This window comes from Homo sapiens, chromosome 2 (assembly GCF_000001405.40).
Source record: "Homo sapiens chromosome 2, GRCh38.p14 Primary Assembly".
NCBI classification, from domain to species: Eukaryota; Metazoa; Chordata; class Mammalia; order Primates; family Hominidae; genus Homo; species Homo sapiens.
The window spans coordinates 158777089-158791730 of record NC_000002.12 but is presented as its reverse complement, the minus strand read 5'-3'; the positions used below and the strand labels follow the sequence as shown (position 1 = coordinate 158791730).

The window sequence follows — 14642 nt, the reverse complement described above, 5'->3', positions numbered from 1 at the left end:
TGAGGCCAATGTGGCCTCCTCTGGGCCCCGCCCAGCACAGCCTTCCTGCCCTGCCACTCTTTCTGCTTCCACTGGAGGAGGCCCAGGGTCCCAACTCTGTCTCCCTCTGTGTGTGCTTAGGAGCACAGGGCAGCCCCAAAGTGGGGTGGGGTCTTCCCTTGCCTTCTCTTTATGTTCGTCATGAAAAGCCCAGGCCTGTTTTGTACACTGTGAGGTAAGTGGAGCCCAAGTGATTTACTCTGGGGACATACTGGAGCTTCCATCAGGGTGAAAGTCTCATGGAAAGAAGACAACATGTTATTACTCTTTAAATGGGCTTATAAAGCTCACTTTAAAAATGGCATCAGTCGAGTTAACTGCAACAGGAGAGCAGTTCATGCTAGGACCAAAGTATTTGAAATTGTGCTTTGTAATGCAAAAAGCCTAGTAAAATGGATTCTCACGACGTTGAGGTTGCCAGAGAGCTTTCTGTCTTAAAATGAAAGGATGCTTTAACATTAATCATATTTTAAAATCATACAACACTTTCATCGTAGTATTGCACTTTCTTCTTTTAATTTGTATGTGGGAGACATTACCTTCCTCATGCACCTGTATATTTGCAGGGTGCATCTAATTTTTATATTTTCTTTTTTCTCTTAACATTAGTTACATGCTGTACCTTATGCTAAGTTCTGAAAGTATGAGAAATCTATGTTAGAAATCAGGGGCAAGAAAGCTAACTGGGAGGGTGGTGACTCTTAGGTGGTGGGGTGGTGTCTTAATTTGTTTTCTATTGCTTACAACAGAATACCTGAAACTTGGTAATTTATAAAAATAAGCAGCTGGGCATGGTGGCTCATGCCTGTAATCCCAGTACATTGGGAGGTCAAGGCTGGAGGATTGCTTGAGTCTAGGAGTTTGAGACCAGCCTGTGCAATGTGACAAAACCCTATCTCTACAAAACATGCAAAAATTTAGCCAGGTGTGGTGGCGCATGCCTGTAGCCCCAGGTACTCAGGAGGCTGGGGCAGGAGGATCACTAGGCAGAGGTTGCAGAGAGCCAAGATCTCGCCACTGCCTGAGGGATAGAGTGAGACCCTGTATCAAAACAAGAACAAACAAACAAAAAACAGTATTCAGTTATGGAGGCTAAGAAGTCGAAGGTGGAGGGCATGCATCTGCTGAGAGCCTTATTGCTGGTGGGGTCCCACTCTCTGCTGAGTCCCAAGGCGGCACAGAGCTAACCTGCTCACTCGGGGTTTCTCCTCCACTTCTTTTTAGAGTCTCACTCTATCACCCAGACTGCAGTGCATTGGCATGATCTTGGCTCACTGCAACCTCTGCCTCCTAGGTTCAAGCAGTTTCTCCTGGCTCAGCCTCCCAAGTAGCTGAGATGACAGGCATGTGCCACCATGCCTGGCTAACTTTTGTATTTTTAGTAGAGATGGGGTTTCACCATATTGGCCAGGCTGGTCTCGAACTCCTCAAACTCCTGACCTCAGATGATCTGCCCACCTTGGCCCTCCCAAAGTGCTGGGATTACAGGTGTGAGCCACCATGCCCAGCCTCTCCTCCACTTCTTATAAAGCCACCAGCTCCCCTCCCAGGATAACCATTAACCCTTTTTTTGAGACAGGGTCTCGCTCTATTCCCCAGGCTGGAGTGCAGTGGCTGTATTATGGCTCACTGTAGCCTCAAACTCCTGGGCTCAAGTGATCTTCCTGCCTCAGCCTCTCGAGTAGCTGGGATTACAGGTGTGCACCACCACACCTGGCTAATTTTTATCATTTTTGTAAAGACGGGTTTCACCGTGTTGGTCAGGTTGGTTTCGAACTCCTGGGCTCAAGCCTTGGTCTCTCAAGTAGCGCAGGCTACATATGTGTGCCACCATGCCCAGATAATCTTTAAAAAATTTTTAGTAGAGATGAGGTCTCTCTATGTTGGCCAGGCTGGTCTTAAATTCCTGAGTTCAAGTGATCATCCCTCTTCATCCTCCCAAAGTGTTAAGATTACAGGCTGCACCTGGCCCCATTAACCTATCAATCCATGAATGGATCAATCTGTTCAGAAGAGCAGAGCCCTATGGTCACCTCTTAAAGTCTTCACCTCTCCATACTGGCATATTGACGATTCAGTTTCAACATGAGTTTTGGAGGAGACATTCAAACCATAGCAGGTGGTTTAGAGAAAGCCCTCTCCAAAGCATCTTGCCTCCTGTTTTGTAAGATGTCTCTGAGCTTCCAGTGCCTGTCTAGACATTTTAACTCCAGTTTCTCCCTGTAGTCTATATCCATGTGTTTAGGTGCTTTGCTTTCTCTTTAGATTTCATTCAGTATTTTCTCTGTTGTTTCTCCATTATATGTTTTCTAGGTGGGGTGTGTTGGGGGGTGCGGTATTATGGGAGTTACATTATGGAGAAAACTGTGCTTACCAGCTTTTTTGGTCTGTTTTTTAGATATAGTGTGTCTTTCTCTTCCCTCTCTCCAAAACACTGGGATTTTCCTTTCATCCGAGGACATTTTTAATTCCTAGTATTCTTTAGCAGAAAGCACTCATTGTTTTCTCTCTCCATTTGCTGGACCTGAAACAAAGAATCCATTAATAATTTGGAGAGGTGTGTAAGGATCTTTCTTCCGAGTTATCATGCAGATAGACACTTTTATGTATAGGGATTCCCCCAGCAACAAAACAATCACAATTCTGTGTGCAGGAATATAGAAACACAGTTTAGAAGTTAGCCAATCTTGATAACAAGGTAAACAATGAAGAGTACATTTTTTCTTGCCTTGGGGTCTTGAAGTTTTAGTGGTGAGTGTTGGAGCCAAGAGGCAAATAAACTTAATTGGAAGATAATAATAGTTCACTTTACTTTTAGAAATACACTCGAGATTAGTTAAAACACAAATTTCTGCAATTCCCTACCTTCCACATCTTCTATAAAGCCAAAATTTACTGACCCCATTTTACAGGTGGGAAAAGGCCATAAAAGGAAACAAAGAGAGGTAAATTAGTCGTAAAACATAACAAGATGGCAGTGGAAAGATCAGAAGCTGCTACTGATCCATTGTCGGCCCAGTCTTTATTATTGTCCAGCAGCTTGAAACCCGCATTGGGCATCTGAAAAGTCATGCCAGGAAGCTGTATAATGCACCACTAATAAAACAGCTAAAGGACAGCATACTGTCTGAGCAGCGGATGCTAGTAAGTTATCTGTTACAGGGTTTTGTACCCTTTCCATGGGTTGAGATGTTTCAGGTATCAAAGATTCTGAAATGAATTCCAACCATAGCCAGACTAGGCCATGGGAAAGACATACCTGGAAAGAGGGCCAGCCTTTTGTGGGCCAAGATGTGACTTTTTTGGACCAGTGTTTACTTCACTAACTGCTTCCCTCTTCTCTCTGCCAAGGACCCTCCCTGCCTTTCCTGTTAAAGGAAAAACTAGAGCTGGAAATTTATATAAAATGCAGTCTTTATAGACATTTTTACTCTAGTTTTTTCCTTTAGTCTATATCCATTTGTTTAAGTGTTTGCTTTCTCTTTAGATTTCATTCAGTATTTTCTCTGCTGTTTCTCCATTATATGTATTATAGGTGGGGTGTGTGTGGTGGGATCATGGGAGTGATTATGGAGAAAACATTCCCTTGGTCCTTGGGCTTAAAAGACCAAGACATTCTTGCCTGTGGGCACCATCTCTTGGTGCCACTCAGGGTTCAGCGGTGAATTTCGGAGCCTGGAGATCCCTTTTCATGAATCTGGGCCCTTGTAGTCATGATATGATGACTCCACTTCACTCTGTAAGTCCCATCCTACTGTTGGGAAAACCCTCAAATTCATCCATTTAATCATAAACTTATTATTTATCTCTCTATTGGCAAAGCCCTGTGTTAAGTCTCCTACAAATTATTCATCTCATTTAATCTCTCCAAAGATTTTTACGTTTTTATTTATTGAATGGGTAATGATGGAGACAGGAGGCAGAGAAATTTCAGGCAGAAAAGGGCATGTCCCTAGGGAAAACCTCATCCTCAAGCTGAAAAGCCTGAAACGGTGGCCCAAAGTGAGAACGTATATCCCTGGTTTCCCGCTGGAATGTTACCTTTTCCTAAACCACCCAGGGCCCTGCCCCACCCCATCCTCTGCCTATAAAGACCCCAGATTCAGCCAGCAGAGAGGAGAAGCAGCTGGACATTGGGGACTACGGCTGGATGTTGTCGACTTCAGAGGGACAGCTCAAAGGCGTAACTTCAGAGAATAATCTGGCTGGAGATAGCAGGACTTCAGGGGAAGATTACCTACCCCATCCTATCCCCTTTTCAGCTCCCCTTCCCACTGAGAACCACTTTCTTCGGCAATAAAATCCCCCACGTTTACCATCCTTCAATTTGTTAGTGTGACCTCATTTTTCCTGGATGCTGGACAAGAGCTTGGGAACCATGAGTGTGGACACAAAAGGCTGTCACACTGGCTCTTTTCCTGCTCTGGCAAAGGGCAGCCACCTCACGCAAAAAGGGAAAGGGCCCGCTGAACTGTTGACACTTAAGCAGTCTGCGGATGGCAGTGCTAAAAGAGCAATGTAACATGCCCTTTGGGGCTTCAGGGGTCGCAGGCACCCACCTGGATGCTGCCGTGGGGCCTACACGGAGTTTGCTCCTGCCAGTGCTGAAGTGGTAGGGTGGTTCCAGTGCTTATGCACTCCAGTTTACATCTTGTTTGCTCACGTGCTCCCTCCTGTGAGGAGTTGAGTGGCAGGCTGAGTAAACCAGGCGCCCCTGTCATGAGTCCCTTGAAGGGGTCAGGGAAATACCCTGTTTCAGTAATACATTCATATGATTCAAAACTCAAAAGATACAAAAAGGAATATAGTGAAAATTGATTTTTTCCCTCTCCAACCTCCAGGTCCACTCTTTGGGGACAACCAAAGTTATAAGTTTTCCTAAGATATTTCATACATTTAGGAGAAATTCATACATATGTTTTTTAATTTTTTTTTTTTTTGAGACAGAGTCTCACTCTGTTGCCCAGGCTGGAGTGCAGTGGCGCGATCTCCGCTCAAAGCTCCGCCTCCCGGGTTCACGCCATTCTCCTACCTCAGCATCCTGAGCAGCTGGGACTACAGGCGCCCGCCACCACGCCCGGCTAATTTTTTTTTGTATTTTTAGTAGAGACGGGACGAGGTTTCACCATGTTAGCCAGGATGGTCTCGATCCTGACCTTGTGATCCGCCTGCCTTAGCCTCCCAAAGTGCTGGGATTACAGGCGTGAGCCACCGCGCCCGGCATGTTTTTTAATTTTTATAACACATATGGTAATATATACATATATTATTGTGTACCTAACTTTTTTCACTTATAGAATATCTTGAAGACACTTCCTTCATTAGAAATAAAAGCTCTGCAATTACTTAGTGACTGTACCCTTCCATGTTATGGATGGATCAGAATTTATTTCATCAGTGTCTTTCTGATGAAGATTTAAGTTGTTTCTAATCATTTACTCCCATAAATAATGTTGCAGTGAATAATCTTTTACAAATACAACTTTGCCTGTGTATGCCATTTTATTTATAAGCTAAATTCCTAAAAATAGATTGCTGTGTCAAAAGACATGTGTATTTGTAATACTGATACTGCCAAATTGCTCTCTATTGATGTTGGAGGGCAATTCCTGCCAGAAATAAATGAGTGCCTTTTTCCCCCAAGTGTTACCAATTTGCCAAGTCTTACCAACTTGCTCTTTGTCAAGTTGATAGGTGAAAAATAGTATTCAATTTTGTTTTTGTCTACACTTCTCTGAGTATGAGTGAGGTTGAACATCTTTTTAGAGGTGGTTCTCACTCTGTCACTTAGGCTAGAGCAGTGGGGTGATCATAGCTCACAGTAATCTTGAACTCCTGGGTTCAAGGAATACTCCCGCCTCAGCCTCCCCTGTAGCTAGTGCTACAGGTGAAAGCCAGCACACCCAGCTAATTTTTAAATTTATTTATTTATTTATTTATTTATTTATTTATTTATTTATTTGTAGAGATGAGGTCTTGCTACGTTGCCGAGGTTGGTCTTGAACTTCTGGCCTCGGGCAGTCCTCCAGCCTCGGCTTCCCAAAGTGCAGGGATTAGAGACATGAACCAGTGTGCTCAGCCTGTTGAATATCTTTTGTTTGTTTGTTTGTTTGAGACAGGGTCTCACTCTGCCACCCAGGCTGGAGTGCAGAGGCATGGTCATGGCTCCCTGCAGCCTCAACCTCCAGGGCTCCATTGATCCTCTCACTGCAGCCTCTCGAGTAACTGGGACTATCAGCACACACCACCATGCCCGGCTAGTTTATTTATTTTTTTAATTTTATTTTTTTTGAGACAGTGAATATCTTTTAATGCTTCAGACTTATTTGAATTTTCTTTGCTGTGAATTATTATTCACCATGTTGATTCTTGTAGGGGTTTGATGGTATTTTGGTCATTTTTGTTATTACTTTTTAGAAGCTGTTTATATACTGTAATCAGTGCAACAAGCAACACTTTTATAATTTTCTTGTGTAAATCAAAAGAAATATAAATTATTGATGTATATATTAAAAGTCTCTAGAGGAAATTTGGTTATTTTTAATGCTTTTACATATTCATTAAACAAAAACTTTTTGTTTGTTCGTTTGTTTGTTTGTTTCTTGAGACAGGGTCTTTCTCTGTTAGGCTGGAGTACAGTGATATGATCATGACTCACTGCAGCCTCAACCCCCTGGGCCCATGTGGACATCCCAGCTTAGCCTCCTGAGTAGCTGGGACTACAGGTGCACACCACCACACCAGCTAATTTAAAAAAAAATTTTTTTAAGAGATGGGACCTCACTATGTTTGTCTGGCTGGCCTCAAACTCCTTGGCTGAAGCGAACCTCCAGCTTCAGCCTCCCAAAGTGCTGGGATTATAGGTGTGAGCCACCACGCCTGGGCTAATTTAAAAATTTTTTTTTACGGAGTCTGGGTATCACTGTGTTGCCCAGGCTAGTCTCAAACTCCTTGGCTCAGGCAATCCTCCTGTCTTGGTCTTGAAACTTTTTGTTATTGACACTTTTAAACATGTACAGAAGTAGAGAGAATGACATTAACAAATCCCCATGCACTCATTACTCAGCTTCAGCAATTATCAACACATGGCCATCTTATTGTCCATAACCTTCTCCCTGACCGACCCCACTTCTGCCACAAATTTTCCCTTGCCCCTTGGACTATTAAGATGTAAAAATCCTGGGTGTTACATAATTTCACGGTAATGATTGCTATTACATTGAAGTATTACTATTATGTATCCTTAGCAAAATTAACAGACGTTCTTTAATATCACTAAATACTTAGTAAGTACTCAAATTTGTCTGATTGTCTCATATCTTTTTTTTAACAGATGGTTTGTTCACACCAGAATCCAAACTGGCCCCTTCCTTAATTAATTAATTTATTTTTGCAATTATTTGTTGAAGACGCTGGGTCTTTAGTCCTGTAGAATTTGCTACATTCTGGATTTGGCTGGATTTGTTGTATTGCATGAACATGTCCTGTTCTTTGTATTTCCTGCAAACTGGTGGTTAGATCTAGAGGCGTGATCAGACTCATGCTTGATTGATTTATTTTGGGCAAGTATACCCAAGGGTGTTATTGTGTACTTCCTGTTGAGGCACATCTACAGGCTCATAAAGTCTGGTTGTCTTTGTGTAATGTTGAGGCTGATCTGTCATTTTAGCTGACATTCTGTTCTAAAGAATGCTATTAGATACAGAAAACAAAATTTGCCTCTCTATAGAAAATGAAGTGCCAAAGGAGAAACCCACAACTTCATTTTTGAGAAGAGAGAATGCACAATGTGGGTAGCTTGCTTTTATATTTAACACAGTGAAAGACTCACAGAAAAAACTTGCCCTTCTGGTTCAAGTTCCCTTTAGTCCCCAGTTCAGCATCAGATATTTGTGTGATTTGGTCGGGCGCGGTGGCTCACGCCTATAATCCCAGCACTTTTGGAGGCCAAGATGGGTGGATCACTTGAGGTCAGGAGTTCCAGACCAACCTGGCCAACATGGTGAAACCCCGTCTCTACTAAAAATGCAAAAATTAGCTGGCCATGGTGGCAGGTGCCTGTAATCTCAGCTACTCGGGAGGCTGAGGCAGCAGAATCACTTGAACCCGGGAGGTGGAGGTTGCAGTGAGAAGAGATGGTGCCACTGTCCTCCAGCCTGTGCGATAGAGCGAGACTCCACTTCAAAAAAAAAAAAAAAAAAAAAGATATTTGTGTGATTTATTTGCTGGCTTACTGTGTCAGAATGTATTTAGATTTCAGGCATTTTTCTACCATCTTTTTAATTTGACTCAGAATAAGAATATTTTCATCTTGCTTATTATGTTTCACTTTTAAAACAGCTGCCTCAGGCCGGGCGTGGTGGCTTACCTCTGCAATCCCAGCACTTTGGGTGGCCGAGGTGGGCGGATCATGAGGTCAGGAGATCGAGACCATCCTGGCTAACACCGTGAAACCCCGTCTCTACTAAAAATACAAAAAATTAGCCGGGCGTGGTGGCGGGCGCCTGTAGTCCCAGCTACTCGGGAGGGTGAGGCAGGAGAATGACTTGAACCTGGGAGGCGGAGCTTGCAGTGAGCCGAGATCGCGCCACTGCATTCCAGCCTGGGCGACAGAGCGAGACTCCATCTCAAAAAACAAACAAAACAAACAAAGAAACAAACAGCTGCCTCAAAAACGTGAGTGATAATTTAGGGGGCTTGGAAGATGTCTTTCCAGGAGGCCTCGGTGGCTGGGGTCTCGGCTGTAGTCATATTGGACTTTCGGTGTCTAAATGACTGTCGCCCACTCTCCTTTCCCTGCCTCTGAGCTTTCATTTTCCTCAGTCTGCTATAATCCTCTACTCTTGGTCAACTCCCACGCCTTCCATGACCCCATCAGTCTGTGAGTTGCTCCTGCAATCATTCCACTCTTCTCATTCACCATACTTTGTGGGATTGATGAATTAAATCTCATAGTATCCTGAATTTGAACCAACCTGTAGATCTTCAATAAGTACTTTTTAAAAGGGAATCAAATTTCCTTGTTTTGTGTTACTTTAAAAACTACATTTCTTCAAAGACAAGTAGCCTGAGTGGTGTCTCAGTGGAAAGTTACTTTCCCAAAGCCATTCTACAGTATCTGCAATTGCCTTAAAATTCTGCCAATCCGATTAATCTTATTTAAACCACAAAAATGACTTTCCTAAATACATCTTATGATGATCCTAAGTGATACCTAAAGTGATAAACGGATGAATCGACAAGTGAAGTGGCTTGTTTGAAAGGTTTCCGCGGATGGCCCTCCTTTCCGTCGCCCTTCCCTGTGGGTATAAAAGAAACTGCAGTCATGTGAAAGATTTGTGTTTGCCTGGATTGGGAGCACGCGGGCTTGGAAAAGAGGTGCACGTGCCCTGTTCTCTCTTGGGTATTTTGCTGTGGATGCATGTGATTCTGATCTCACAAACGGCTGGTGTGCTTTAGAAATTGAAAAATAAATGAGAATCCAAAGACACCGACAGATCATGTAGAATTTAATTTCAACTGTTACTTGAAGAGAAGTTGTGAGAAAACACCCACTTTCTGAAAGTAATCTTCTCTTTAATAACACTGGTTGGAGATTTTCAAAATGGCTATACACACACATTTATACACATTTATACACACATATTTAAATTTTTATAGTAATAGATGTAATGGATTGTCTTACCCAAGAATTTAATTTCTGAATAAAAAAAATCTTTCCAAGGTAAATACTTATAATACAATTCTTCCTTTCCTATATGACCACAACTTAATGTAGAACTTTTACAAAACAGTCCCTTCATTTCACTCCCTTTGCTTTGGAATGCTGAGTCAGTGTGCTGTTGGAAATCCCAAGGCTGGGTGTGGGTGGAAATAGTAAGTCATGGGTTTTAAGACGCAGAACAATCAGGAGAGGAACTTTGACTCTGGACTCCGTCTCTTCAGCCCCTTTGTGGATTTTAGCACAGGATAACTTGCAACATCAGCATTTCACTCTTTGCCTGCACTTCTCCTACCTTTGGGGCAGGATTAGGAGCTCTTTGAGAGTAGGCTCTGTTTGTTATTCAGATCACATGGCATGCAGTTGGCAGAAAATAGATGCATGTTATTGATGATGCTGAGAATACCAGGATAGACAGCTGTGGGAGGTGTTTCACTCTTAATTGTGCGGCATGAAGAGCAGTCAGCAGGAGAGTTGGCAGCTGTGACTTCTAGAATTCCACTTAAGAAATGGAGCGCCACTGATTCAGATCACCAGAGAATCTCATGGGTACACCTCAAAGGCAATATGACAAACAGTGTGATCAATAGTCATTTTAGGGTTCTCCTCTGCTACCAGTGTGTATTCCATGAAAATAGGCATGCCAAAAAAAGGAATCTTAAGCCTGTGAACCATGGAAAGGGTCAGAAAATAGCTATGGTAGCAGGCAAAAACTAGAAATGTCAAAAATTGGGCAGAAGAGAGAAAGGAGAAGGTAAAAAAGCAGATGAAAAGAATACCTTGTATAACAGAAAACCAAACACCACATGTTCTCATTTATAAGTGGGAGGTAAAAGATCAGAACACATGGACACATAGAGGGGAACAGCACACACTGGGGCCTATTGGAGGGTGAAGGGTGGGAGGAGGGAGAGAATCAGGAAAAATAACTAATGAATACTAATGAATACTAGGCTTAGTATTCTGGGTGATGAAACAATAATCTATACAACAAACTCTCATGACACACTTTTACCCATGTAACGTAACAAACCTGCACATCCTGCACATGCATCCCTGGACTTAAAATAAAAGTTAAAAAAATACCTTGTATAAAATAGAAGGTGGGGGAATACAGGGCTGGGAGGGAGAGAGGAACTGATTTCAAGAGCAAACTCACATAGATAACTGGGCTTTTTAAAATGAAAAAATGCTCATCATCACTGGCCATCAGAGAAATGCAAATCAAAACCACTATGAGATATCATCTCACACCAGTTAGAATGGCAATCATTAAAAAGTCAGGAAACAACAGGTGCTGGAGAGGATGTGGAGAAATAGGAACACTCTTACACTGTTGGTGGGACTGTAAACTAGTTCAACCATTGTGGAAGTCAGTGTGGCGATTCCTCAGGGATCTAGAACTAGAAATACCATTTGACCCAGCCATCCCATTACTGGGTATATACCCAAATGACTATAAATCATGCTGCTATAAAGACACATGCACACGTATGTTTATTGTGGCATTACTCACAATAGCAAAGACTTGGAACCAACCCAAATGTCCAATAATGATAGACTGGATTAAGAAAATGTGGCACATATACACCATGGAATACTATGCAGCCATAAAAAATGATGAGTTCATGTCCTTTGTAGGGACATGGATGAAATTGGAAACCATCATTCTCAGTAAACTATCGCAAGAACAAAAAACCAAACACCGCACATTCTCACTCATAGGTGGGAATTGAACAATGAGATCACATGGACACAGGAAGGGGAATATCACACTTTGGGGACTGTGGTGGGGTGGGGGGAGGGGGGAGGGATAGCATTGGGAGATATACCTAATGCTAAATGACGAGTTAATGGGTGCAGCGCACCAGCATGGCACATGTATACATATGTAACTAACCTGCACAATGTGCACATGTACCCTAAAACTTAAAGTATAATAAAAAAAAAAAATCAAAAAAAAAAGAAAAAAAAAATGCCAGCATTCTGTGTTTTCAAGCCAGCAGGAAATGCTTTAGAAGAGTAGCAATATCCTTTGCTGAAGCCCATTTAGTTTCAAAGTGGAAATGTCAATAAGACTTGTGTGCCTGTGCCTCCCAAGCCAGAGGGATCTCCGTGCTTTGTGTTGGGCAGTATAAAACAGAGCTCTTAGGTCTGCAAAGAGTATTTCTTCTGACAATAAGCCTACTGAAAATCAACTTTTATTACATTTTCTTGCACAATCCACATGCATTCTGGTTTTCTTCCTAGCATGCCAGATCCTGATTCATTAGGAGAGAAAAACAACTCCATTTTAAGCACTCTTTTCATTGTTTTCTATCCCATGGACTCCATGTTTTGAAAGATTTTGTCAGCCAAACTGCTTTTGATGAGCAATTTATATTTCCACTTTTCTTAAATCAAATGTATAGACCAAAGCTTTGTTTGGATGGGTATTTTCTTATTACTGATACAATTCCAGCAAACAACTTCGTGTCTGAGATAGTCTGGGAGGCAGGAGTTGCAATTTGACCCTTTGACTGCCAATATAGCTGACTCTATTCGGGCAGTTTTGCCAAAATTGAATTTGAACATCTTGAGGTGGGACAAATGCTGTCTAGTTTTCCTTTGGTGTTACTTTGGCTTCATGCATTGCAATGGAAGGTCTGGCTCCTGAGGGCTCCAGGAGAAGGTATAACTTCCACAAATCTTCTGAATGAATGGAAAATAGCTCTGGATCCTGATTTCTAACATTTACAGTCCCTGAGCATCCTGGAGACCCCAGAATAGAGACCATAACTGGACATTCCAGGTAACCTATGTGGTTTCTGTCTGGTGTGATCACATTCCAAGGCCATCTTTTTTTATGATTAAAATTTGTATTTTGAGGTAACTGTAGATTCACATGCAGTTGTAAGAAATAACACAGACAGATCCCATGTACTTTTTATCCAGTTTCACCCAATGGTAACATCTTGCAAAACTATAATACGATATCACTATAGGATATTGACACTGATACAGTCAAGATACAGAACATCCCTTCACCACTAGAATCTCTTACCCTTTTGGCTTCACACACTTCCCTCCTGCCAACCTCTTTCCTAATCCCCAGCAATAACTAATCTGTTCTCCATTGTCTGTAATTTTTGTCATTTCAAGAATGTTCTATAAATGGAAGCATACAGTCTGTAACTTTTGGGGATTGATTTTTTCACTCAGCATGTTTTTTTTGGAAATTCATACAGGTTGTTGCATGTATTAATAGTTCATTTCTTTTTATTACTCTGGTGTAGATAGATAAACAAAATATATAAATAAATAGTTCATTTCTATAAACAATTTTAGGAACTATTTCTACTTTTTGGCTATTACAAATAAAGCTACAGTATATACTTTATAGTATATACTATAAACATTTGTATATAGGTTTTGGTGTGAACGTAAGTCTTCATTTCCCTGGGATAAGTACCCAGGAATGTGATTGCTAGGCTGTATGGTAGTTACATGTTTACTTTTTAAAGAAACTGACAAACTGTTTTCCACCCCAGGGCATCTTAATCACCAACTATCTCTACAAAGGATAGGCTGTTTCTATTAACTTTTTCATACTTTGCTTATAACTTTTGTGCAACCTTTTCGCTACAATGTACTATGGCAAACTATCACTTAGGCAATATAGAAACTCTCTTATCACATGCCTTTTGTTTTCTCTATTTGCTTGTTCTTTTCATCTTCTGATCTTTAGAGAGCAATAGAGATAATAACCAGCTCTACCCAGAAAGGAAATCAAAATAATCTTTTAAAAACATACGGTAATATCTGCTCCTGTTCTCACCTTGGGTTAAGCAAAAAAGGAAAAGGAAATTTGATCTGAATATTCCAGGAAAAAATAGACTTTAAACTCTGCCTAAAAAATGTCACAACAATTTGATGATGTGGTCAACATTGTGCAAAAGAATGAAAATTTATAAAAAGTGAGTCCCTATGCAATAATCTTAGTTGCTTTTCTTTTTATAGTGAAACATGTTTTTAAAATTACTCTAGTATTAAATATACACTGCACCTTTGTTGAAAGGTGCAGTGCTTTGAAAGTACACTGCTCATTGCTGAAATCCTGCCAGAATTAAAAAATGAGGCAGAAGAATAGCATTTTGGGTCAGGCATTGATCACAGCAAGAGGATGGAAAACAGCGAGTAGTAATAATAGTAACAATATGGAAGCAGAGTGACGGACCCCCAGGGCAAGAAGAGCCAAGTAGAGGTCAATTAGCCCATCTGACTCGTTTAACTGTATTTTGGATGACAGTATTATTCTGCAATACAGTACCTCCACATTTCTTTTCCATAAGCGCATACAAGATGGACACAATTCAATAGTCCCCCTTATCCTAGGGGAATATGCTCCAAGATCCCGAGTAGTTGCCTGAAACCTTGGATAGTACTGAATCCTATATATACTATGTTTAAAAAAAATACATACATACCTATGATAAAGTTTAATTAATAAATTAGGTACAGTAAGAGATGAACAACAATAACCAATAATAAAATAGAACAATTATAATATTGTACCAGCATCCCCACTTTTGTGTTTTGGGCCATTACTAAGTAAAATAAGGGTTCCTTGAACACAAGCACTGTGATAACATGAAAACCACGAGGGCTACTAAGTGACTAATAGACAACTGGCCACTTGAATACAGCATGGAGATGCTGGACAAAGGGAGGTTGCATGTCCCAAGTGGGATGAAGTGGGACGGCCAGAGATTTCATCACGTTACTCAGAATGGGGCACAACTTAAAATTTATGAATTTATTTCTGGAATTTTCCATTTAATATTTTCAGACTGCAGTTGACTGAGAGTAACTGAAACCATGAAAAGTGAAACCATGGATAAGG

The 14642-nt window shown here is 41.4% G+C and overlaps 1 annotated feature.

Annotated features, from left to right (window-relative positions):
• Positions 8041–8540: an enhancer, noted in NCBI's record as "H3K4me1 hESC enhancer chr2:159639703-159640202 (GRCh37/hg19 assembly coordinates)". NCBI's record gives its function as "activates a minimal SCP1, AML or CMV promoter by ChIP-STARR-seq in naive H9 embryonic stem cells {active_cell/tissue: H9 hESC(naive)}" and the evidence as "EXISTENCE:reporter gene assay evidence [ECO:0000049][PMID:30033119]".